The following is a 26,885-nucleotide window of genomic DNA, read 5'->3' as shown; positions in this document are numbered from 1 at the left end:
ATTTTAAAGGGAACAAAATTACCTGAAATGTTGACTCTGAAAGAGAAACATTTACATATTACCATAGTCACTATGTGATTATCAAAAGTTGCAGCTTAATATTTTATGTTTTAGTCACACTTTGAGACTGAAAGAAATGTCTCTTTGAGCTAACATAACGCGGTGCAAAAAGCAAGAAGAGAGAACTACCAAGTAAAAGGCTAGCAGAAAAAAAAATGAGGCCAAAATTTTAAAATACAGCATTTCAGAGAAAATCTTAAGCGTCAAAAAATAATTGAAGAATGTTTATTCATTAGTAAATCACTGTTTTATTTACCCAAAAGAAATATGGATATTACATATGTCAACTCCCAATTCTGGTGAGTTAAATATGCCCAAAAATATACTTAAGAAATTAAAAAGATGCTGAACTATTTGTCTTATTTATTAGTATTACAGTTTGACGTGGCACATCTCCAACTGGAAGAAAATTAAAAAGCCACTTACCAAGGTGCCAGACCGAGAAACATATGGCACTTCCCAATAACTACTGCCTGGTTATTTGTAGGTGGGAAAAATCTATTTGGGGGCCTCCTTACAGCTTGATAAGAAAAAAAAAATTGTATATGTTTACTCTGAGGAGTTTTCAGTAAGAAGAAATTTTAGATTTATTTACAGCATAGAGGAAAAGGTATTACCTTTATTAATGAAATGTGAGGCTCTTATGGAGACTGGAGGGAATTCTTTTAATGCATTTTTTTTAGAGAGGGTTGGCAGCTAAGAGAGAAAACTTTGTGGGGGTTTTAAATATTTAATATCCCACTGTTGCTTTACAGCTTAAGGAAAACTTGTGCTTCTTTATTGGAAAATATTTCAGAGCTTATCTCAACATGTATGGAATTAAAAACAAAATCTTTAATATTCCTAAACTCTAAAGCTAGGTGGAAAAAAAACAACGTAGGGCAAAAATATAGTTCTTTCTTTGCAAAATTAAAAAACTTAATATTAAAATGTTTACATCAGAAAACTGTACAGCTATATAAAAATGTTCTTGTTATTGGGGGTTTAATTAATTACCTTCTAAGTAATAGTTATTGATTGCTCATTGTATATTAATTATTTGAATTAAAGAGTTTGGGTGAGTCAAATAATTATGTGGCCTCTGTAGTTAACAGTGAATAATTTTGTAGATAAACAATGCTGTTAGTCAAAAGATAAAGTGATAGGCCTAATGGGGAATTCAGCATTATACAATGATGGAGACAGTGATAACTACACTGGGATGATCATAGAAGTGTTAAAAAAAATGCAGGGAAGTCTCTCTTAATGGCCTTACCACACAATTTGAATCACATATATTATTAACTTCGTTAAGTTAGGTCATTAATAGTATGTCTTTCTTGGAAGATGAAGCATATTATTTACTTTACATCCCATATGTATGTGTTATATATTAAATTATTTATACTGTAATCCCCATCTACTATCAGAAAAAAAGATTATCCAAACAACAGGTGATAAAAAGCATAATAAACCAAACACCGCATATTCTCACTCATAGGTGGGAACTGAACAATGAGATCACATGGATACAGGAAGGGGAACATCACACTCTGGGGACTGTTGTGAGGTGGGCGGAGGGGGGAGGGATAGCACTGGGAGATATACCTAATGCTAGATGACGAGTTAGTGGGTGCAGCGCACCAGCATGGCACATGTATACGTATGTAACTAACCTGCACAATGTGCACATGTACCCTAAAACTTAAAGTATAATAATAAAAAAAATTAAATAAATAAAAAATTTAAAAAAAGCATAATATAAGGATATTTCTAAGTTATAATGTAATTTTTAAGACTAAATATTTAGTTTCATAAATTCACTAATGGCAGTGGCTATAGACTATTTGGACTTACATTCTTCTTCTTCTAGTACTTAATAGCTGTGTCTGTTATGTCTTTGTCAGTTTAATTAAACTCACCTTGGGTCAAATTTCTCTTCTTTAAAGTAAAGATATACTATATTTTATCTAAGGCGCCTTTGATTGTAAGACACACCATTATTTTTCTACTACTGCAAAAGAAAAATCACCAAAAACGGGGAGATAAAGGGCAAACCCTTCATAAAGTACATATACCAAAGGACGATGTCCTCAATGCATGGAAAATGAGAAAAAGATCTGACCCACAGAAAATGTTACCAGAAAACTTACATGCCTCCACTTTGGCCCAGAATGGCGAAAGGGAAAATTTATGTTCCCTGATGACATGAACAACAGCCAGTAGCCATGTAGTTCTGCAGGCTAAATTAACACTGCTAGTGTGGTCTGAAAAACCTCAAAAGAAAATTGAGGTTGATCATGCTACAGGTGACTGGCAAAAGCAAATCCCAATTGCCTCTGGAAGAATTAGATGAAAATCCAGGCTGAAGCCACTCCAAGACAATATTAATCATAAGACCAATTTTAGAGATGCTACAATGGGAGGAAAAAAGGTGTGTGGTAGATGAATTGCAATCATGGCCCCAATTCTTCCTGTCCCCGAATCCATAGATTTCGCCAGATGATGTGCAGCTCCTCCCATCAAGACATCTACTTCTCCAACGCTTGAATCTCTGCTTGTTTCATGACTTTTTTGTGACAATACAATGTGCAAGCTTCATTGTTCACCCATTCCAAAACTAGGCTTAAGAGGTCTTTCACGGTTCTGCTTGCAGTATTAGAACTCTGCTGCCTCCAGGAAGATAAACGCCAGCTAGCTTGCTGGAAAGATGAGAGACCATGTGGAATAGAGCCAATTAATCCTAACCAAGGTCTTGCTAGGATGGCCTATTCCCCAGCCTACAGATAGCTAACCACAGTTATATGATCAAGCTCATCTATGAACACCCGAGCCTATCCAAATCAACAGAACCACCCTCTAGCCTCATGGAAAGAATAAATGCTTGTTATTTTAGGGTACTACATTTGGGGGAGTTTTATATGCAATAATAGGTTACTGGAACAAGATATATCTTTAAATAAGTGAAATACAGTAGTAATATCTAACTTACGATATTACTACTAGCTACAGTAGGGAATTAATACCTGCAAGGCATTTAAACTCGTGCCTCACACACAGGAAGTTTATATAAATGCTATATACATTATTGAAATTCTACCTTATTCAACAGAGACTCTATTGTTTCCAACTTGATTCATACATGAAATGAGAGTCCTGATTTGCAGAATGATTATAAAGATCAAATGCAAGTGGAAATATTTTACAACTATAAGGTACTACCTGAAATGTGATTACAACTATAATTACACATGAACAAATATCTAAAATACAATGAATTATAAAACAGGTGTAAGCAATGTTAAGCCAGTAAAAAAAGGCAAATGATTGTGTCTAGGAGATCCAGGAAGGACGTCTTTATTGAAAAGATGGCATCTGAATTGAACACAGAAGAACAGGAAGGATTTAATAAGGTAACAGGTTATTGTAAAGCAGAAGGTGGAAAGCATTCTAGGTTAAAAATAACTACATGTGCAAAGGTCCAAAGATGTAAAAATGTCTGCCACATGTCAGTCTTGCCTGCACGATGTGACTAGGAAAAGGGGGAAATGGCCAGATGTAAAGCTAGGGAAATAGATTACGATGTCTTGTTCAGCAAGAAAGGCTTTCTCATTTAAGCAATAGATGTCACCAGAAGTTTCTACAATGGCCAGTGATATGACAAAATCTGTATTTTAGAAATATAATTCCGGTAATAATAAGGATTAGAAGGAGAGAAACAAACAACTAGCAAGGTAAAAACATAATTGGGGTCTGATCCAAGTTCTATGGAATCCAAAAAACTAGAGACACATTTGAAAGACAACTAAAATTCTTAAGTGCCCTGCTATGTGGCAAAACCTGAGCTAATTGATCTCACATCCACTATTGCATCTAATTCTTCCAAATGCTTTATGAATAGCACACTGTCCATGATAACACAGATAGAAGTGAAAACAAGTCAGCCTGACTCCAAAGCCCAAAGCTTTTTTTACTCTTGTGTCTTGCTTACCAAGTTACAGAACAATGAAAACAAAAATCAAATATATCAAAAGCCTAAAGTAACATATTTTTGTAATTGTTTATTCAGTTTATTTCTTGATACCAAATGAAACTTCTATAAAGCGTAAATAACTTGAGTTAATTCATCAAATTATCATAGAAATGAGTTTTAACAAATGAATCACAGTCAGATAAAGCTTCATTTGATAAATTTTAAAAAATCACTACTCAGCCATATTAAGGATTCTCAAATAGCTAAAAAATTTTGTGAGTAGAGTAAAGCTAGAAGGAGGAAAGTTCTGAGAAGAAAATGTTGGTAGTCCAGGAGACAAGGTATCCGGATGCTAGATTATAATATAATTCTTCAGGAATGTTTAGCCCTAAAAAGAGAAAGAATGGAAAGCAAACTTCAAAATGTATAAACAGCTGCCACCAATTTAATGGTCTGCAGTAGTCGTGAGGTGTTGCAGCATTTGGAACTAGGAGTAATGAGTAGAAATAAGGGTGGCAACTTTTGACTTACTAGAAGAAAATATTTTCTGTTATCTAGAACTATCCAACTATGAAATGAGTTTATTCATGGAGTTCTGATTCCTAACTCTGAAAATATCCAAATATAGTTCATTTATAAAAAAGTTAATTGAGCAACTAAAATTGTCCTAGATTCATGTTAGGCATTCAGGAACAACTGTGAACAAGATGATCTATCAGAAATTATTTCAGAAGGAGATTCTTCATTCTTTATTTAATAGACCCTTATTCAGTGCTTACTGTTTTCTAGGCACTTGAAATTCTTGAATGTTAATTTATGTAATACCCATAACAACCTTACAAATGGGGAAACTGAGGCAAAAAGGTAACTTGCTCAAAAGCACACAAGTAGTGAGGATCAGCACTGAGATCTAAATCCACATGGTCCAGGTGGAAGGTCTGTGCTCTGGGCCACTATGGCTGCTGCCTTCCCCTGCTCCCATGGGGTGGTGCTGGGCTACCTGGCTAATAAGGTGCTTAACACAGCCTTACTCTCAGAAGACTCTAAGAAATTCCATAAACTAGTAGAAGACAATGAAGTCAAATTTTGACAAATTTAACATGTTCCCACGGACTAGACTTGATTAGGTCTTGTTGTCTTCTTATTTCTTTCAAATATGGGCAAACACATCAACAAAATGCATTATACCATTATTCTAATTTTGTTTTGTTTTGTTTTTGTTTTTGTTTTTGTTTTTACTTACCCCTCAGGAGGAAGTCTGGGTGTCTACAGGAAAGAAGGTTTGGAAATTGATTTTGTTATACAGAATATATTTTAAAGAATCTAAATAAACCTAAGAGTTCTTTCTTCTGGATATGAGATGGGGAAGATGAGAATCAGGATACAAAGGTAGTGTTTACCTTTTAGAATTCTGTACTGTTTGCTTTCATATGAGCACGTTTTATTCTCTTAAATGCTTACGTAAGATTTGTGTAAGTAAAAGTTTATTATAAAACATGAAAAGAATGTCTCTCATCTTCTGCTTATCTAGAAATGAAAGCAGAATTGTGGACAAAATTTATGAGAATGACTCACGTAATTAGAGCATGTCGGGAAAGTAGCCTGAAAAAACTTATTATCTCACCACCCTATTTTACAAATTTCACAGATCATCTGACTCTATGAAACTTGCATAGAGTCAGAAAGTAAACTAATTAAAATGCACTGAAAATCCATTGAAACTCTAAAGCACTGTACAAATGCAAGCTTTGATGTGATTGATGCCAGAGCCAAACCTAGAACTGATTAAGAGGTTGGTTCTTTGGAAGATGATTAGGCTATAAGGTGGGGCTCTTATGAATGAGATTAGTGCCCTTATAATAGGATTTTAGGACACAGCTTTAGTTCCTTTCGCCCTTTCACTGCTTCTGCCATGCAATGACACAGCAACAAAGCACCATCTTGAAGCAGAGAGCAAGCCCTCCTCACCAAATACCAAATCTGCTGGAGCCTTTATCTCAGACTTCCCAGTCTACAGAACTGTGAGAAATAAATTTCTGTTGTTTATAAATAGCCCAGCCTAATGTATTTTGTAATGTATTTTGTTAAAGCAGACCATCTGAACTGACTATGATATACCATTTTGACTTACTGGGGTATGAGAGTAAGGGGGCATAGAACCCTGAGTAACTTACTTAATCTTTCTGAGTCTTCACGTCTATGGAATGATAGTAACAATACCTATATCATACTGTTGTTCAGAGGATTGAATAAGAAAAATCATGTGAAGCATATGGCCTGAAAGAGAGTTAGCCTACAATAAATGTTATTGTGATTATTACTTTTATTATCATTAGTTACTAGTCACTTAACATTTGCTGCAGCTGGCTTCTCATAGCAAAATTATGCTTCCCTTTCATCAGAGTGGTTATATATTTTTCAAGTGTCCTGGTGACCTTCACATGATAGAGTTGAGAACATGATAGACTTTGAAATCAGATAGATCTGAGCACAAAGGTCAGTGCTACCAAATATTAACTGAGGGATCTTGAGCAAACTATTCAAATTTCTAAGGTTCACTTTTCTCAGTGAAAAGATGTAATAATTGCCTTGTGGAGCTGTTTTGTAGTTTAAAGGAGAATGCATGGAAAAACAGTAGTCTACTGGCACTTATTAAAACCTTCAGTAAATGGCAGCAATCAGGAATATTTATTACATCTTATATTATTGTAAGTTTGGAATGTTTTTTAGTTCCTATAAACTGCAGAATGTGGAGAAAGAGCCCAAATGTCAGCAAGATTGCTGCCCCTGAGCCATAGGTTTGTTTCATTTTATTTCCATATATTTGCTTTCTATTTAGCTGTTTGACTAACAGGGAGTGTGGGGATGAAGTAACTAAAGGGATAGATCAAAAATTAATAACCTTTCCCTGGGAAAGAAGATGTATGTTCACCCAGGGGCTTCATCTTGTTCATTGGTCATTCCCAACCCATGTGTTATAGTCAAGAGGAAGAACCAGGAAATAGCCAAGTGTCTTATCCACTATTTTGTGAAAACATTAGATTTTGACCTAAAGAGAGTTCCTGGGTAAACCCAGGATAATTATTCTCAAAGATATCATTAAGACGCTGCAGGATTGAGAAACATTGGGGAAGCCCAACTATATAGCCAAAGGGGTAGGTGGATGCATGTTGAAGGGATGGAGAAAGAATCTGTGAAGAGCTAAGGTGGCAAAAATTGATGAGGCTTTGATGTCTTGCTAAAGGACACCACTATTTATTTAAAGTGATTGAACTGAGTGAGTAGAAAAAGATAAATGGCCAGGTGCAGTGGCTCATGCCTGCAATCCCAGCACTTTGAGAAGCCAAAGCTGGAGGATCATTTGAGCCCAGGAGTTCAAGACTAGCCTGGGCAATATAAGGATACCCTGTCTCTACAAGAAATAAAAGAAAAAATTGTTGGGCATGGTGATGCACACTTGTGGTCCCAGCTACTTGGGAGGCAGAGGTGGGAGGATTGCTTGATCCCAGGTGGTCAAGGCTGTAGTGAGCCATGATCATGCCACTGCACTCCAGCCTGGGCAACAGAGTGAGCATTTGAAAAAAAAGGAGAGGAGAGGAGAGGAGAGGAGAGGAGAGGAGAGGAGGAAGGAAGAAAGGAAGGAAGGAAGGAGAAAGAAAGAAAGAGAGGAAGGAAGGAGAGAAAGAAAGAAAGAGAGAGAGAGAAGAGAAAGACAGAGATAAAGAAAGAAAGAAGAAAGAGGAAAGAAAGAAGAAAGAAAGAAAGAAAAGAAGAAAAAAGAAGGCAGGAAGGAAAGAGAAAAGATTTATTTCATGGAATAGAAAATGAAAGATTAAGAGTAATTTTAATTCATTCAACGCTTCATTGGACTTAAACAGATCTCAAAATGTGATCTGCAGACCAGCAATATCAGTTTACCTGGGACCTTGATAGAAATGCAAATTATCTGCTCACTCCAGACTATTGAATCAGAAATCTTGGGGGTTGGGGGACGGTAGCGGTGGCTTTAGCAATCTGTCACCTCTGAGTGACATTGTCGATTATAAATTGTGAGACTCACCAAATTAGAGAAGTTTTCTCATCATCCTTTTTACTTTTTATTACAGTTTACAATTTCTTCTTACATCTTACCCCATTGAACCAAAAAGTAAAGAAAGGTGGGGCACAAGGGCTAAAAGACTAAGACAGACGTATTTAAGTAATTTGCAACTCCGGGATTAACTGATTTATAGTAAAAATGAAGGTTAATTTTTATTCATAGTCATTTTAATGCCATGCATGAAATTCACAGAAGAATAGGCATATTAAGGCCAATGGAATAAATAACAAGATTAGAACAATACAGAACAGTATTTGTTAAGTGGAAAGAAAATGGCACTTGATGGGTCGCAGAATGAACTGGGGATGAAGTGTCCTAGATAAAATCTTCCATATCACCACTAGCTCCTGCCAGATCGTTTCTACCCACATCACTGAATGATATTATTTGCCAAAGCCCAGTTAATCGCAGACAAACAGGACAATGCAGTATAAAGAGTGAAGTCTTGTAACAGCTCTAATTACTGCAAAAGACTAGCATTATCAGAAAAGTCCCATAGAGGAAGTAAATTTAAGAACAAAGCAAATCAACAAAAGCCTGATAATTATCTTGAAAGAAAAGACACTACTAGAAGGGCATTGGAGTGAATTTTTCTGCCTATCTTGCCTCACTCATTGCCACCTGACAAATTTTGCATTATTGGTATAAAGCTTGTCTTTATTCACCTCAATCAGTGGTATGCTCTTCACATGTTCCCTAAGTTGACCCTTGAACAACACATTTGAACTGTATGGGTCAACTTACATGTGGCTTTTTTTCAATCGAACATGGACGGAAAATACAGTAGTTACAGATACAAAACCCGAATATACATGGGTTCCACGAGACCAACTATGGGACTTGAGTTTGTGTGGATTTTTGTAAATGTGGGCAATCCTGGAAGCAATCCTTCACATATACCAAGGGAAAACTGTACTTAAACTTATTGAATTTAAAATAGGCATTTTAAACTTATTTTATGCATTACTGAGCATCCCGTTTTATATAGTTACCAAAGCCCTTAGTAAGGGCTAACAGGAAGTGCCAGCTTGGGGATGCAAACTTTCTAATCATGCTACATTTACTGTGTATTCTGTAAAGCCCCACAGAATCATCACATTCAAAGCAATCTGAAAATATAAAGTGGTATTTTTGCATTCTGATATTATAACATATAGTTCCTCTCATTCACATTTGTGGTACTTTAAAAAATTAGTCTATAAAAATTTCATGGCAGCTTCAAAGCACTCAACTCTAGGTAATGGAATGAAATGGCTTGAAATGTAAAACAGTTGTTGAGATTATGCCGATGGCACAAGTAAAATTTAGAGCAAAGAGCTAAGAATCAAGGAAGGAAAATACTTTTTAAAAGTTTCTGTAACCATCTCTTCAAGTATAATGGCAGTGATCTAATGTTCTATTAAACACGTGGCAGTCCTGATATGCAAGTCCTTGTGTAACCAGGGGAGGGCATAGAATTTTTCTCGGGTGGGAATAAGGACTTTTTGTTGGACCCTCTCTGCCTATAGCTGATGATTTTGAATGGAATGGGAGGCATATTTGCCCCAAGCAGTTTCCAGGTTAAAGGCGCCCAAAGATATTTTCCTCTCACAGCTGTTAGCTTCTTGGTCAAGATCAGGGATTACCTGGCACAGGGTTCTCACTTTCTCTGGGTTAGCTGGAGCAAAGAGTAAACAGGTTAAAAGCTTTTAGCCGAGGAGGAAACTAGCAATCAGTGCTGGGGTTGAGGCAGATTTGCTTTTGGGAGAAAGAAAAATAAAAAAGTTGATGAGGAAGGAGTCTGGAGAGGAAAGAAAAAGAAGAAAGTGAAGCCATCTGGTCACCAACAGTGCTAGAATAGAAGAGTCCAGTTCCTCTGCTTATAAACTCTCTGGCCCCCTATCTGAGTGATAACCACAGGAACCACAGCATCAAACAAACATGGTTTATTTGATAGGAAGTAGAATCAGCAGACGCCAGAATTGTCAAGGTCTGCGTGCCTCCCAGATCCCATCCAAAGCCTATGTTTTTAGCATGTGTGCTGATTCTAGGGCAAGGAGTCCACATTTTGAAAGAGAATAGATGAGACGTAGGTGAAATGTCATTATATATTAACATTGAAACTTCTTCCAGACTCTTCTTTTTCTCATGCATGGTTTTCTTTGATGACAGGAAGATACTCTAATATAGATTTTTCACAGAAAAAGCTTTGAATGCTCAGACAGCTTTCTAGGCATTTGTTTTAAAGACTCACTGCAGCTGTTTAAAGAAAGGACAAAATGCATATGACTTTTAGTGCCCAATCTGCCATCTACTGTAAATTTACTTTCCTAAGTAAATGACCTCTTTGACTCACTCTCCTGGCTTTAAAAATAGAAATATTATCAAGCTCATAGTATTGCAAATTTCTGTTAAGCAACAGACCTACGTATTCGACTATTTCTTTGACATCACAACTTAAAGAGGCCTCAGGCCGCTCAAATCATGTTTTCTTAACAGACTTCACAATCTTTCCCCAAGCCTGCTGTCCTCTGCAGGTTGATGATGCTACCACAAATCCTTAATCCTTCAAGTCAGAAGATAAAAACCTTGCTGGATTTCTCCTAGTCACTTAGTTTAGACCTTCTGCTTCATTGGTATTTCTCAAGACTGCTCCCTCCTCATTCCTACTGACCCTGTCCTCATTGAGGTTCTCATCACTTCTTACCTGGGTTATTGTAACCACAGTCATTTCTTAATTGACCACCCTGACTCCAGTCTTGCATTCATCATTCTTCCCTCTCCCCAAAAAGAAAATGGTATCCTTTTAAATATACTCACTGGAGGGGAGAAACTAGAAAGAGGTAGAAAGAGAAGCAAGTGGAGTTGATTAGACATTGAAGGCAGGAAATGAAAATAAAGTTGGTTTGGGAATTTGTTCTTTTAGTTTAAATTCATTCTTTCATTTGATTACTGCAAAAAGAATGTTATTAAAGACCAGAAAAAGAAAACAGCTTTCTTAATTCATTCCAAAATATCTAACACTTTATCTGTCAGGCACCATCAAGAACAAGACAGTTATTCCTTTTGTTTTGTTTTTTTAAACCCAGATATATTACTGGTTGTGCATAAAATGTTGCTCTATCTCACACTTGTATGTCAGTACACAGTAAACTTTAAAAGCAACAAAATCACCCTCTGTTTTGCAGAGGTGGTGAAATGCAGTCTTGCTCTCTTCATTTTGAACTCAGCTGGCAGACACAGTGATCTCATATACAAATATGTGGCAATTCTATTATGCATGTCACTTGTCTCAGCAAACTAAGTTATAAACTCACAAAAACTACCTGGCTGTGAATGGAAGTCTCAATACTGCCAGCCCTTAAACCTAAAGCACTGCAGATTTTCTGAGAATGTGTGCCCTCAAATAAGGACAAAAGACAAACAGGGACCTTATTTAACCTAATTCACCAAAAAGAAAAAAGTGACTAACAATGCAGCAAACTCTCTGTATCTGTGGGTTCTGCCTCTGTGGTTTAACCAACTGTGGATCAAAAGTTTTTTTAAAAAAAATTAAAAATAACAATACAACCATTAGAAATAATACAAATAAAAATAATACAGTGTAACAACTATTTAGATAACATACATAACATTTACATTTTATTAAGTATTATAAGTAATCTAAAGATAATTTAAAGTATACAGGAGGATGTGCATAGGTTATATGCAAATACTATACCATTTTATACAAGAAACTTGGTCATTAATGGATTTTGGTACCTGCAGGGGGCCCTGACACCAATTCCCCTTGCAGATACTGTGGGACAACTGTAGATGGTTTCTCAGTTCAGCAAGAAATGAGCGGCTTCTGCCTTTGTGAATATCTAAAATACTGCAGGCCTGACCCCTAAAATAGAATCATGCAACTTGGGAGATAACAAACACATTAGAAAAGCAAACTCCTCATTTTAGTAGAATACCATGTTGAAGCTCAGAAAGCTGGAGTGATTTGCTAAAGGGCAATCAGCTGTGAGTGAAGCAGATGTGAGGCTAGAGCCCAGGATCTCTAATATACAGTAGACCAGTCATTTGCTTGTTTCATAAGCAGCATATACTGAGAAGACCACTTCTTTTCTAATTCATGACAGATGCTGCATTCTCTCAGCTTCCCAAATGTGAATCACTTTGAGGAGATGCCAAGCCTACTAGTTAAAACATATAGAAGATGCACCTCCAAGCATGTCTTATCTCTAAAATAATCCTGTGTCTAGTGGCAGAGGCAGGAATATCTCAGTTTAAAACAGGACATGATCTTGAAACTAATAGTCCTAAAGTTATACCACCACAACATTTAAGAACTATTACAAGGGTGCTCCCTCTTACCACTTCTACCAATATAGTACTAGAAGTCCTAGCCAGAGCAATTAGACAAGAAAAAGAAACAAAAGACATCCAAATTAAAAAGAAAGTAGTAAAAACATCCTGTTTCCAGATGGCAATGAGTTTAGAAATCATAGAAAACCCTAAAGATTTCTCCCCAAAATTGTTAGAACTAATAAACTATTTTAGTAAAGTTATAAGATATAAAATCAACATACAACAATCAGCAGCATTTCTGTACAATAACAACAAACTATGCAAAAAAGAAATATAAAAACAAACCCATTTATAATAGCATCAAATAAACAAATGAAATACTAAAGAAAATTTAATCAAGGAGGTAAAATGTCTACACACTGAAAACTATAAAACACTGATGAAAGAAACTGAAGATGACACAAATGGAAAGATATCAGAATATTATTAAGAAATCCATACTACCCAAAGCAATATATAGAGTCAAAGTAATCTCCACCAAAATTCCCATAGCATTTTTCACAGAAATAGAAAAAACATTTTTTAATTTGTATAAAACCATAAAAGCTCACAAAAGATCCCAAGTAGCAGAAAAATCGTGAGCATAAAGAATAAAGCTGGAATGATGCCAGCAAGTTGAAATGGGAGGCAACCTGGTTATTTCCCCACAACAAGAATTCTGTACCCATCCACAGACAAAAGTCTCTCTGTGGGAGTTTCAGGATTCAGGTAGGAAGTTGTGAAATTCCAGTGACACCCAAGACCTATGAAGGACATTTGGAATGCAAGAGCAGCATCCAACTAGCAGACCCACTGATCATTCTTCCAGGCTCAAACCCAGAAACAGTCCCATTTCTAAAATAGCTTGGCTACAACCCCATTTGTCCTCAAGCCTATAATCAAAACCATCTGCCAAGAGGTCCAGCAGTAATCACAAACACTAGTGCCTCAGTGGAGAATTTCAGGTGCCTACTGACATTTGTCTCAGCAGAGGCCTGAAAGTTTTCCTGTAGCATGGCTCCAGACCTCTCAGTTGAGGTCCTAGCTTAGAACTGCTTGCCAAAGGACCCATAGGTAAACTTGACCATATCTCAATGCCTGAGGGTCTGAACCTCTGTGACAGGCTCACATATCTCCATTCCACAGCATATCCTTAGGGGATCCAATCTCAGCTCTGGCCAGTCTTACTGCAGTCAGAGACCTGCCCCACCTGTGCAGGGACATACTGAGAGATGTGTACCCATTTGAGAGAGGGGATGGGTTCATTAACCTCTGTCCCAGAGCAGTTCTCAAGGGGGGCCAGTCATAGCTCCAGCCCTTCATGCTACAGTCAGAGACCTATCTTGCCTGTGCAGAAACATGCTTGAAGGGGCACTCCCATTTGAGCTAATGAGGTAGGCTCACCAGTGTCCATTCCACAACAGATCCCAAGATGCCCAGTCTCAGCTCTGGCCCCTCTCACTGTAGTTGAGGACTCTTATGTAAGGACCTGCGAAGAGAGAAGTACCTGCTGAACCAGTGAGACAGGATCACCAGCCTCCATCCCACAGAAGATCCGGAGGGAGCCGAGTTCTCAGCTCTCCCCATTCTCATTGCAGTCAGGAAACTATCCTTTATGTACAGGAACCTGTAGGGAGATGTCTACCCGCAAAACAAATGAGACAGACTAACCAGCTTCTGTCTCATAGTATACCCTGAGGGGGCCCAGTATTGGCTCCAGCCCTTCTTGCTGCAGTTGAGGAACCATGCAGGGTGTGATATGGTTTCTTGAACTCTTACATGTTGTGGGAGGGATCCAGTGGGAAGTAATTGAATCATGGGGTAAGTCTTTCCCATGCTGTTCTCATGATAGTGAATAAGTCTCACAAGATCTGATGGTTTAAAAAAGAGGAGTTCCACTATACAAGCTCTCTCTCTCTTTGCCTGCTGCCATACATGTAAGGCATGACTTGTTCCTCCTTTCCTTTCACCATGATTGTGAGGCTTCCCCAGCCACGTGGAACTGTAAGTCCATTAAACCTCTTTCTTTTGTACATTTCCCAGTCTCAGGTATGTGTTTATCAGCAGTGTGACAATGGACTGATACAGTAAATTGGCACCAGAAGAGTGGGGTGCTTCTGAAAAGATACCCAAAAGAGTGGAAGCAACTTTGGAACTGGGTAACAGGCAGGGGTTGGAACAGTTTGGAGGGCTCAGAAGAAGACAGGAAAATGTGGGAAAGTTTGGAACTTCCTAGAGACTTGTTGAATGACTTTCCCCAAAATGCTGACAGTGATATGGACAATGAAATCCAGGTTGAGGTGGTCTCAGATGGAGATGAGGAACTTGTTGGGAACTGGAGCAAAGATAACTCTTGCTATGTTTTACCAAAGAGACTGGTGGCATTTTGCCCGTGCCCTAGAGATCTGTGGGACTTTGAACTTGAGAGAGATGATTTAGGGTATCTGGCAGAAGAAATTTCTAAGCAGCAAAGCATTCAAGATGTGACTTGGTGCTGTTAAAGGCATTCAGCTTTATAAGGGAAGCAGAGCATGAAAGATTGGATAATTTGCAACTTGACAATTCAATAGAAAAGAAAATTCCTTTTTCTGATGAGAAATTTATGCCAGCTGCAGAAATTTGTGTAAGTAACAAGAAGCCCAATATTAATCCCCAAGAAAAATGGGAAAAATGTCTCTAGGGCATGTCAGAGGTCTTCATGGCAGCCCCTGCCATCACAGGCCTGGAGGCCTAGGAGGAAAAGATGGTTTTGTGGGCTGGGCCCAGGGTCCCCCTGCTGTGTGTAGCCTAAGGACTTGGTGCCCTGCATCTCAGCCACTCCAGCCATAGCTAAAAGGGGCCAACAAACAGCTCAGGCTGTGGCTTCAGAGGGTGCAAGCCCCAAGCCTTGGCAGGCTCCACATGGTGTTGAGCCTACAGGTGCACAGAGGTCAAGAATTGAGGTTTGGGAACCTCTCTCTGGATTTCAGAGGATGTATGGAGATGCTGCGATGTTCGCGCAGGAGTTTGCTGCAGGGGTGGGGCTCTCATGGAGAACCTCTGCTAGGGCAGTGTGGAAGAGAAATTCGAGGTCAGAGCCCCCATACGGAGTCTCTGCTGGGGCACCACCTAGTGGAGCTGTGAGGAGACAGCCATTGTCCTTCAGACCCCAGAATGGTAGATCCACCGACAGTTTGCACCATGCACCTGAAAAAGCTACAGAAACTCAATGCCAGCCCATGATAGCAGCTGGGAAGGAGGCTGTACCCTGCAAAATCACAGGGGTAGAGCTGCCTGAAACCATGGGAGCCCACCCCTTGCATCATTGTGATCCGAATGTGAGACGTGAAATAAAAGGAGATGATTTTGGAACTTTAAAATTTGACTCCCCCTCTGGATTTTGGACTGACTTGGGGCCTGTAGCCCCTTCGTTTTGGCCAATTTCTCCCATTTGCAGTGGGTGCATTTATCCAATGCCTGTACCTTCATTGTATCTAGGAAGTAACTACTTGCTTTTGATTTTACAGGTTCATAGATGGAAGGGACTTTCCTTGTCTCAGATGAGACTTTGGACTGTGGAGTTTTGAGTTAATGCTGAAATTGAGTTAAGACTTTGGGGGACTGTTGGGAAGGCATGATTGGTTTTGAAATGTGAGGACATAAGATATGGGAGAGGCTGGGGTGGAATGATATGGTTTGGCTGTGTCCCCACCCAAATCTTATCTTGAATCCCCACATGTTGTAGGAGGGACCCAGTGAGAGGTAATTGAATCATGCGGATAAGTCATTCCCATGCTGTTCTCATGATAGTGAATAAGTCTCACAAGATCTGATGGTTTTATAAAGAGGAGTTCCCCTGCACAAGCTCTCTCTCTCTCTTCACATGCTGCCATCCATGTAAGACATGACTTTCCCCTCCTTGACTTTCACCATGATTGTGAGGCTTCCCCAACCACATGGAACTGTAAGTCCACTAAATCTCTTTCTTTTATGAATTTCCCAGTCTTGGGTATGTTGTTATCAGCAGCATGAAATCGGACTAATACAGGGTGCTACTGAGATGCATGCCCATTTGGGACACTGGGACCAACTGGTCAGGTCCCAGACCAGCTTTCTCACACAGCCAAGGTACTGTCCTTAGGTCTCTCTCAGGTCTATATGAGCTAAAAAGCCATGTCAACCTCAGAATCCCCAGAGACTCATGTCACTCCTGGGCTTAAAGCCTCCTCTAGCTCTGAGACAGCTGTAGTGGTCACAAACTCAGGGAACATAACAGCTAGTCTGCTTAGAATCTCTAGAAGGTCCTCTGAAGAAGGACAGGCACAAACAAAGCTAGACTGTGAAGACTGGAATAAATACCTAATTGATCAATGCACAAACAACACTACATATCCAAAAGCATCATGAACATTCAGAGAAATATGACCTTACCAAATGGACAGAATAAGCCTTCAGAGGCTGACTATAAAGTGATGGAGATGTGTAATCTATCAGACAAAAATTCAAAATAGCTGTTTTAAAGAAGCTCAACAAATTTCAAGAAAACATACAGAAAGAATTCTGAAACTTGGAGAAATTTAACACATCAAAATAATAATAATAAGTCCTGGACCTGAAATATTTGATGAATGAAATGAAAAATGTGAGAGAGCATTAACAGCAGAGCTGATCAAACAGAAGTTAGAATAAGTGAGCTTGAAGACAAACTGTTAGAAAATAAGAGAAAAAATAAAGAAACAAAAAGCCTATGGGATCTACAAAACAACATCAAAAGAGAAAATATATGGGTTATTGGAGTTCAAGAGAGATTTCAGCCATAGTGGCATGCATATGTAATGACAGCTACTCATGAGGCTGAGGTAAATGAATCACTTGAACCCAGGAATTTAAGGCCAGATTAGGCAACACAGTAAGACCTGTCTCCAAAAATAAAGAGAAGAGAGTTCAGAAAAACAAAGGTGTACGAAACTAATTCAAAGAAACAATAACAGAAACTTCCTTCAAACAAAGAGAAAGATATAAATTCTTAAGTACAGGAAGGTTAAACTTTTTAAACAAAGGTTTAAAAAAATAAACAAATTCAACCCAAATAAGACTACCTGATCACAGATTGCAATGAATTGCTCAAAGGTCAAAGACAAAGGATTCTGAAAGCAGTGAGAGAAAAGAAGCAAATAACATATAAGGGACTTCCATACTCCTGGCAGCAGACTTCTCAGAAGAAACACTGCAGGCAAGAGGGAGTGGGAGAATATATTCAGCATACTGAATGGGAAGAAAAAGACAAAAATACTGCCAATTAAGAATGTTGTACCTAAAAAAGCTGTCCTCTGGAGATAAAAGCAAGTTCAATACTTTCCCAAGGAGACAGAAGCAGATGAAATTAATTTCAACAAGACTTGTCCTACAAGGAATGCTAAAGGAAGTTTTTCAAACTAATGAAAAGAAAAAGATTCTAATATGTAACAGGGAAACATCCGAAAGTTAAAAACTCATTGGGAAAATAGGTACACAAACAAGTTATACTTAATTTAATACTCTAATACTGTAATTGTACTGCATAAACCACTTATATCTTAGTATGAACCCTAACAGGCAAAACTATTAGATACAATTATATTAACTCGTTAATGGATAGCCAATATGAAAAGATGTAAAATGTGACATCAAATATACAAAATGAAGTGGAATGGAGTTAAAGTGTAGAATTTTTATCTTTTCTTGTGTAATGAAAGTTAGGTCATTACCAAATTAAAATAACTTATTTTAACTATAAGGTCTTTTTGTAATCCCCGTGGTAACTACAAGGCAAAAGTTATAATAAATCCACTAAAAGTAAAAAGCAATAAATCAAAACATACTATTGGAGAATCACTTAGCCACAAAGACGGTGAAAGAGAGAAAGACACAAAGAAAGAAAGAAACAAAGAAAGAAAGAAAGAGAAAGAGAGAGAGAAGGAAGGAAGGAAAGGAAGGAAAGAAAAGATCTAAAAAACAAGTCACAAAATGACAGGAATAAATTTTTACCCAAAAATAATTACCTTGAATGTAAATGGATTAAATTGTCCAGTAAAATTCATAAAATGGCTGAATGAAAAAAAAGAAAAGCAAGATGCAACTATATGCTGTCTACAAGAAACTCACTTCACCTGTAAAAACAAAATTAGACCAAGTGAGGACGTCTAAAAACTGTTAGAAGAGTCAAAGAAGGCCATAATATAATAATTAAGGAGGTAATACAGCAAGAAGGTATAACAATTATATATGTACTCAACACTGGAGCACCTAAACATATAAAGCAAATAGAAATAGACCTAAAGGGAGAGATAGACTGCGATATTATAATCGTAAGTGATTTTAACATCCCACTTTCAGCAACATACAGATCATCCAAATAGAAAATCAACAAAGAAACATTGGAGTTAAACTGCACTCTGGATCAAATGGTCCTAACAGTTACCTACAGAAAAGTCTTTTCAACATCTGAAGAATACACTTTTTTTTTCAACAGCACAGGGAACATTCTTCAGGACAGACCATATGTGAGGCTACAAAACAAGTTGTAACAAATTTTTAAAATCAAAATTATATCAAGTACGTTTTCTGACAATGGCCTAAAATTAGAAATCAATAATAAAAGAAACTTTGTAAACTGTAAAAATACATATAAATTAAGCAACATGCTTTGAAACAACAAATAGGCCATTAAAAAAAAAGAGAAGAAAAGTTTTAAATATTTTAAATATCTCAAGACAAGTAAAAATGGAAATACAACATACCAAAACCTATGGGATACAGCATAAGCAGTTCTAAGGGAAAAGTTTATGGCAATAAATGGCTAAATTTAAAAAAAAGAAGTAGAAAGAGCTCAAATAAACAGCCTAATGTTGAACCTAAGGAAATAAGCAATATAAAATAGTAAAATAGAAATAGTAAAAGTAAAGAAATAATGTTCAGAGCAGAAATAAATAAAATAAAGACTACAATAATACAAAAAAGATATAACAAAAAGTTGGGTTTAACAAAATCATCAGACATTTAGCCAGATTAAGAAAAAATGAGAAGACTCAAATAAAATCAAAGATTAAAATGGAAACATTACAACTGATACCACAGAAATATTAAGAATCACTAAAGACTATTTGTAACAACTATATACAAACAAACTGAAAAACCTATGAGAAATAAATTCCTGTAAACATACAACCACCAGATTCATACTTCTTGAATCATGAAGAAAAACAAAACCTGAAAGGATCAATAAAAAGCAATAAGATTAAGTAATGAAACATCTCCTATCAAAGAAAAACCCAGGATCTCGATGATTGAATTTTAGAAAACATTTAAAGAATAACTAACATCAATTTTTATTGAATTATTCCAAAAATTAAGGTGGAGGGAATTCTTCTAAACTCATTATATGTGGCCAGCATTACCCTGATACCAAAAGCAGAATAAAACATAGAAGATGAAAAATACTGGCCAATATGCCTGATAAACATAGGTGCAAAAATCCTCAACAAAATACTAGAAAACCGAATCCAACAGCTCATCAGAAAAGATTGTTTACCATGATCAAGTGGGGTTCATCCTGGGGATATAAGGATGGTTGAACACATGCAAATCAATGAACATGATACATCACATCAATGGAGTGAAGGACAAAAACCTATCTCAATACACAGAAATAAAAATATTTGATAAAATTTAATATCCCTTCATGCTAGAAACTCTCAACAAATTATGTATAAAAGAAACACATCTCAACACAGTAAAGGAGATATTTGACAAACTCACAGTTCAATACTGAATGGGGAAAAGTTGAAAAAGACAAGGATGGCCACTTTCACCAATGTTATTTAACATAGTACTGGAGGTCCTAGTCAATTAGGCAAGAGAAAGAAATAAGGAGCATCTAAACTGGAAACACAAAAGTCAAATTTTCCCTATTGTCAGACAACATGATCTTATATATGGAAAACCTAATAGACTATAAAAACTTATTTGAATAAATGAATTTCGTAAATTTTCAGAATACAAAAATCAACACACAAATCAGTAGCATTTCTATATGCCAATAATAGTGAACTATCTGAACTAGAAATTAAGAAAGCAATGCCATTTACAATAGCTATCAAAAAAATAAAATACTTAGGAATATACTTTACCAGAAGGTGAAAATCTTTACAATACAAAATACAAAACACTGATAAAATAAATTGAAGAGGATACAAACAAGTTGAAAGATATCCTATGTTCATGTATTGGAAGAATTAATATCGTTAAAATGTTCATAATTCCCAAAGTGATCTACAGATTCAGTGCAATCCCTATCAAAATACCAATATCAAAAGTAGAAAAAAATCCTAAAATTTGTGTGGAATCACAAAATACCCTGAATTGCTAATGCAATCTTTAATAAAAAGAACAAAGCTAGAGGCTTCTCACTACCTGACTTCAAAATATAGTACACAAAGCAATAGTAACCAAAACAGCATGTTACTGGCATAAAAAACACACATGTGGACCAACAGGTGGAATAGAGAGCCTGTAAATAAATCTAGGCATTTACAGCTAATTGATCTTTGACAACGGGGTGAAGAACACACAATGAGAAAGTTTCTTCAATAAATGATGCTGAGATGGCTGGATAGCTATATGTAGACAAATAAAATTTGACCCTTATATAACACCATATACAAAAATCAACTCAAAATGTGTTAAAAACTTAACTGATGCTGAGATGACTGGATAGCTATATGTAAGTCCTGTAACTGTAAAACTACTAGAAGAAAACAGGGGAAAAGATTCTTGACATTGTTCTGGGTAATGATTTTTGGGGGTATGTCTCCAAACACATTGGCAACAAAAATAAAACTTAAAAAATGGGATTGCTTCAAACAAAAACAATTCTGCACAGCAAAGGAAATAATAAACAGAATGAAGAGACAACCTACAGAGTAAGAGAAAATATTTGCAAGTCAAACATCTGATAAGGAGTTAATATCCAAAATATACAAATAATGCAAACAACTCAATGATAAGAAAACAAATAATCTGATTTAAAAATGGGCAAAGAATCTAAAGACAAATTTCTCAAAAGACAAAGAGCCAACAGGTATATGAAAAAATGCCCAAGATCATTAGTAATTAGGGAAATACAATTTAAAACCACAATGAATTTTCATTTCACACCTGTTAAAATAGCAACTATCAATATGACAAAAAGTAACAAGTTTGGCAAGGAGATGGAGAAAAGAAAGCCCTTATATATTGCATATATTGCTGGTGAGAATGTAAATTAGAATAACCATTATGGAAAACAGTGTGAATGTTTTTGAAAAAATTAAAAATGAAACTATCATAAGACCTAACAATCTCATTTCTGAGTATATTTCCACTGAAAATAAAGTGAGTATATAAAGGGTATCTGCACTTCCAGATTCCTTGCAGCATTTATGGTAGCCAATATTTGGAATCAAATACACACACACACACACATACACAAACACATACACATACACATACACAAGGAGTCTTCAAAAAGTTCATGAAAAATGTATATTATGAAAAAACTATACATGGACTTCAAAATTGTTTGCATCAAAATATTTTTGCACCAAAATAAACTTGTATTAACATGTTTTTATTTTTCTATTTTCATTTCTTTGAGACTAAGTCTCTCTCACTGTCATCCGGGCTGCAGTACAGTGGCATGATCACGGCTCACTGCAGCCTAAACTATCCAGGTTCAGGTGATCCTCCCACCTCGGCCTCCCAAGTAGCTAGGACTACATACATGCACTACCAGGCCTGGCTTATTTTTGTATTTTTTTATAGACATGGGGTTTAGCAATGTTACCCAGGCTGGTCTCGGACTCCTGGGCTCAAGTGATCCACCCACCTTGGTCCTACAAAGTGCTGGGATTACTGGTGTGAACCACCGCACCCAGCTAATATTACCATATTATAACAGGATCTAGTTTGGAGTACTAACAAGAATAAGACATCAATTTGAAAAAAGCTCTTATCAGAACATTATGAATTTTACTAAAGTTGAAGTAAGAGAAATCACCAAATTTATAGTGAATCTTGGGTGGAAGAATGGTGAAATCACTGATGCTTTACAAAAAGTTTATGGGGAAAATGACTGAAAGAAATTAGTAGCTTACAAATGGATAGCTTGATTTAAGAAAAAAAAAAATGAGATGATGTCAAAAATGAAGACTGCAGTGGCAGACCAATTAGGAATACAACATAGTTTTAATCATACAAATGGGCCAAAGGCAAGTAGATATTACTCTTTTCTTGCAATGGGTGACAGTTTGGTTGGACACTGAACTGAGCCCCAAATTTTCTGCCAGTTAGAACACAAAGAATAACATGTTGAACCACATTCTTTTCATTATCTAACAAACAAAAGTACACAGATTTGTCTCTACAGTCTTTGTTACTTCCTGGAACTAAACTCAAGCAGGAATTTATGACATGAAAACACGCAGAAGGCACATCAGAACACATCGCTTCAATTATGTGATTAGAAAACACAAAAATTCCATTCAGACCACCCTTTATAAAAACAGCAAGCATAAGGTTAAAGCAAAATTTAACGAAAGCAGTTGGTTGGGGAAAATAAGACAAGGGGGTCTAAAGACTGACATTCACAGGATCTGAATTAAGATAGGGGATCATTTTAAATAGTGAGATATTGAACTTATCAGTTAGATTCTTTCAAATGTCAGATTCCTTAGGTTACACTGGCAGAGGCTAAATTTTTGTCAGTTCATGATTAAATCTCACAAGAAACTGCAGTATAAATATTCTGAGTTGTCAGTTAAAATGAAACTTCCTTGCTTTAGTTATTAGTCAGGACCTGTCACTTTTGTCAACCACATTTGTTCTCATCACAAACAAGTGGTCTTACTGCAGGAAAGATGCCAGCCTAAGAAAACTGTTTTTCTTATGATTGGCCCTGTACAGGTTCTCAGAGAAGACTCTATCATCTATAACTTCTAATGTAGGGAAAAAGAATGTACTCTAAAAGAATTGTCTTTGAAGCATAAATTATTTGTGTTTGATTTTTTTTGTGTGTGATTGGTTATTCTTATCCATAGAAGGGCTTTAATGTAATGTCTCTTAAAGTTGAAATATTAAAAATTTTACCTTTTAATATTTATAATTATGTGAGAACATTTGACCTCACCAAAATATGTTACGATACTGATTCTGAGTAGATGATAAATAGGTCATATTTACCCTCTCTAAGTAGAGGGTAAATAGGTCATATTTCCCCTCTCTAAGTAGAAGGTAAATAGGTCATATTTCTCTGACTGTCTATTGAAAATATTTTTAGTGGAACCAAAATTTGAATTCACACAAACCAGTAATACTGAGAATTGACACATTGTCACTGAGAAGTGACAGAATGGAAAGGTGGCCTGTGTGGGAAGAACAAAACCACTGTTTTATTAGGATCACAACTTTTTCGAGAAGGATAAAGGGGCATTACTTTATTTTACAAGGTTCCCAGATCCCAGTTAGCCTTGTATCTGTTTAATTTTGATGAATTATTAAGCAAACATTTTTAAGTGAATTAATTATTAAAAACTATTCATTTTCATTTAGCCATAAATGTAAAATTGTCATTAAAATTTTTGGGTCATTTTAACTATTTTAAGCTGTACTTTCTTTAATGCTGCTTACTATCTTAAAAACAAATCAATAAATGTCTCCATTTTAATGTAAAAAAGATTAAATATTAATAATAACACCAACCCAAAGACATCATTAGCATAAGTGAGCTGAAAAATGCACCCTTATATAACTACCTAAGCTCTACCTATTAGTTGGGTTAATCTTGATTAAATATTGATGAGTATACAACAGATTATTTCAACTTATATTAATATTTAATTGATGCTGAGTTTTTTCTTTATGTAAAAATTAGCTGTAATCTTTCTTTTAAGATCTTTTCTGATAAAAATAGTAAAATGAATAATCTAGAACTATGAGAATGTTTTCATTTTGTATACAATATAATAGAACCTGCACCAAGAACTCCTAACAAGTGCCCAAATACAATAGCTATCCACTAAACATGAATGAAATGAACAGTATTGTGATAAAGTTTGTCTACATTTTACTTAAGGAATATATCTGTTAGATTTCCACTCTGGCCACAAGGTAGTAATTCAAATCAGCTTGCTTCCCACCAAAACCAACTAAAAATTTAGACAAAATTATACCAAATAATCCTACAGATATTAGAAAACATACAAGGTAGGAATGTTATTCCTGAGAGAAGAAAAAAGAATGAGGTTTTTGCCTGGTGGCACTTTCTGACTGCAGTTCAGAGAGGGGTTATTCCAAATGAAGCACAGTAGGCTTTTCCAGTTCATGGTAAATACAAAGTCTAATAGCTGAATCACTATTTCATGCCAACAGTTAAATTTTTAACTTTTAATATAATCTAATGGGAATCTAAATTCTTCAGATGATGTGTTGTGGCAGAAGAATTTGAACTTGGTAAGACTTTCAAATACAAATAAGTTTACAAGTAGAAAATCTATTAGAGACAACAAATCATTTTTTAAAATAAAGCAATTGATCAGTTCAGCACAAATAGAAATAACATTTTAAAATTCTCAAATAAATCTTTTATTTTAACAAACTGGACATCAAGAACTTAGCAAAGTGGAAATAGAAAGTAATTATGGAGCATGATAAAGAACATCTAAACCCACTAGTTAATAGTATACCAATAATAAAGCACTAGAGGTCTTCTCATTAAAAGCAATAATAAAATACAAATGCTTCTATCACATTTGTTACTTAATGTTATTCTAGGATGAATAAGATGTCTGATGATAGGAAATTGGTTAAAAATGCATGTATTTGTATATATATGAAATAACTATCTAAAATTGTGTTTTAAATAATTAAAAAGGAAATATCTGCATGACTTTTTAATATTTCACGATATTCCATTTTAAAAATGCAATATCATGTATCTTATTGTTCTATTGTTCAGCATTTCTAGAACATAAAAGGTTAAGGATAAAAAATAAAATACAGAAAATTTTAACAGTGATTATTTCTTAGTATGTTTTTCAAAATAAGCATAAATTATTTTTATGATTACATGATTACATTTTATTTTTAAAAAGAAAAATACCTACATCTGTGTAAATACTCATATAAAAATATAAAATATAGAAGACTATGCAACAAATTGTTAATATTGGTTATATTTTGAGTTGGTGGCATGGAAGTGTATGGATGGGAACAGAGATCTCTACATTATTTGAATTGTCATAGGAACATGTGAAAAACATGATAAAATAAATTCATTCAAAGAACTATCATAAATAAAATAGAAGAGAAATAATGACACACCATTTGCAAAATATGATGTACTGCATTTTTAAGCTGTAGTTAGCAGAGATAATAATAAAGATGCAATATGCGAACAAAACTATAAAAATGGCAAAATCAATATCACACTGAATGGTCAAATGCTGGAAGCATTCCCCTTGAAAACTGGCAGAAGACAAGGATGTACTCTCCCATCACTTCTGTTCAACAAAGTGTTGGAAGTTCTGGCCAGGGCAATCAGGCAAGAGAAAAAAATCAAGGGTATTCAAATAGGAAAGAGGAAGTAAAATTATCTTTGTTTGCAGGTGACATAATACTATATCTAGTAAACCCCATCACCTCAGCCCAAAAGCTTCTTAAGCTTAAGCAATTTCAGCAAAGGCTCAGTATATAAAATTAATGTGCAAAAATTGCTAGCATTCCTATACACCAACAACAGGTAAGCAGAGAGCCAAATCTTCACATTTGACATAAAAATAGTTAAAAAAAAAAAAAAACCTAGCAATACAGCTAACAAGGGAAGTGAAGGACCTCTTCAAGGAGAACTACAAACCACTGCTCAAAAAAATCAGAGCAGACACCAACAAATGAAAAAACATTCCATGCTCCAGGATAGGAAGAATCAATACCATGAAAATGGCCATACTGCCCAAAGTGGTTTATAGATTAATTGCTATTCCCATTAAATTACCATTGACATTCTTCACAGAATTAGAAAAAACTATTTTAAAATTTATATGAACCAAAAAAGAGCCCTAATAGCCAAGACAATTCTAAGCAAAAAGAACAAAGCTAGAGGCATCATGCTACATGACTTCAAACTATACTCCAAAGCTACAGTAACCTAAACAGCATGGTCCTGGTACATAGTACATGGTACATGATACAGAGACACATAGACCAATGGAACAGAATACAGAACTCAGAAATAAGACCACACACTTGCAACCATCTGATCTTCGACAAACTGACAAAACAACCAATGGAGAAAGGACCCTCTATTTAATAAACGGTGCTGCAAGACCTGGCTAGCCATATGCATAAAATTGAAACTGGACCCCTTCCTTATGACTTATACAAAAATTAACTCAAGATGGATTGAAG

The 26,885-nt window shown here is 35.9% G+C and overlaps 1 long non-coding RNA gene across 2 annotated transcripts in view; it reads right to left on the bottom strand.

Annotated features, from left to right (window-relative positions):
• LOC105374140 (uncharacterized) overlaps positions 1–26,885 on the bottom strand; it is a 266,957-nt gene that overhangs the window by 166,314 nt on the left and 73,758 nt on the right. The window contains exon 3 of one of the 2 annotated variants that reach the window (XR_007096124.1): positions 13,833–13,917. The exons of the other annotated variant lie outside the window; for it this stretch is intronic. This is a non-coding gene — a long non-coding RNA (uncharacterized LOC105374140). The remainder of the gene's footprint in view (positions 1–13,832; positions 13,918–26,885) is intronic. 2 annotated transcript variants of the gene reach the window in all.

The sequence above is a fragment of the Homo sapiens genome, chromosome 3 (genome assembly GCF_000001405.40).
Source record: "Homo sapiens chromosome 3, GRCh38.p14 Primary Assembly".
In the NCBI taxonomy this organism is placed as follows: Eukaryota; Metazoa; Chordata; class Mammalia; order Primates; family Hominidae; genus Homo; species Homo sapiens.
This window is presented reverse-complemented; position numbering and strand designations above follow the sequence as displayed.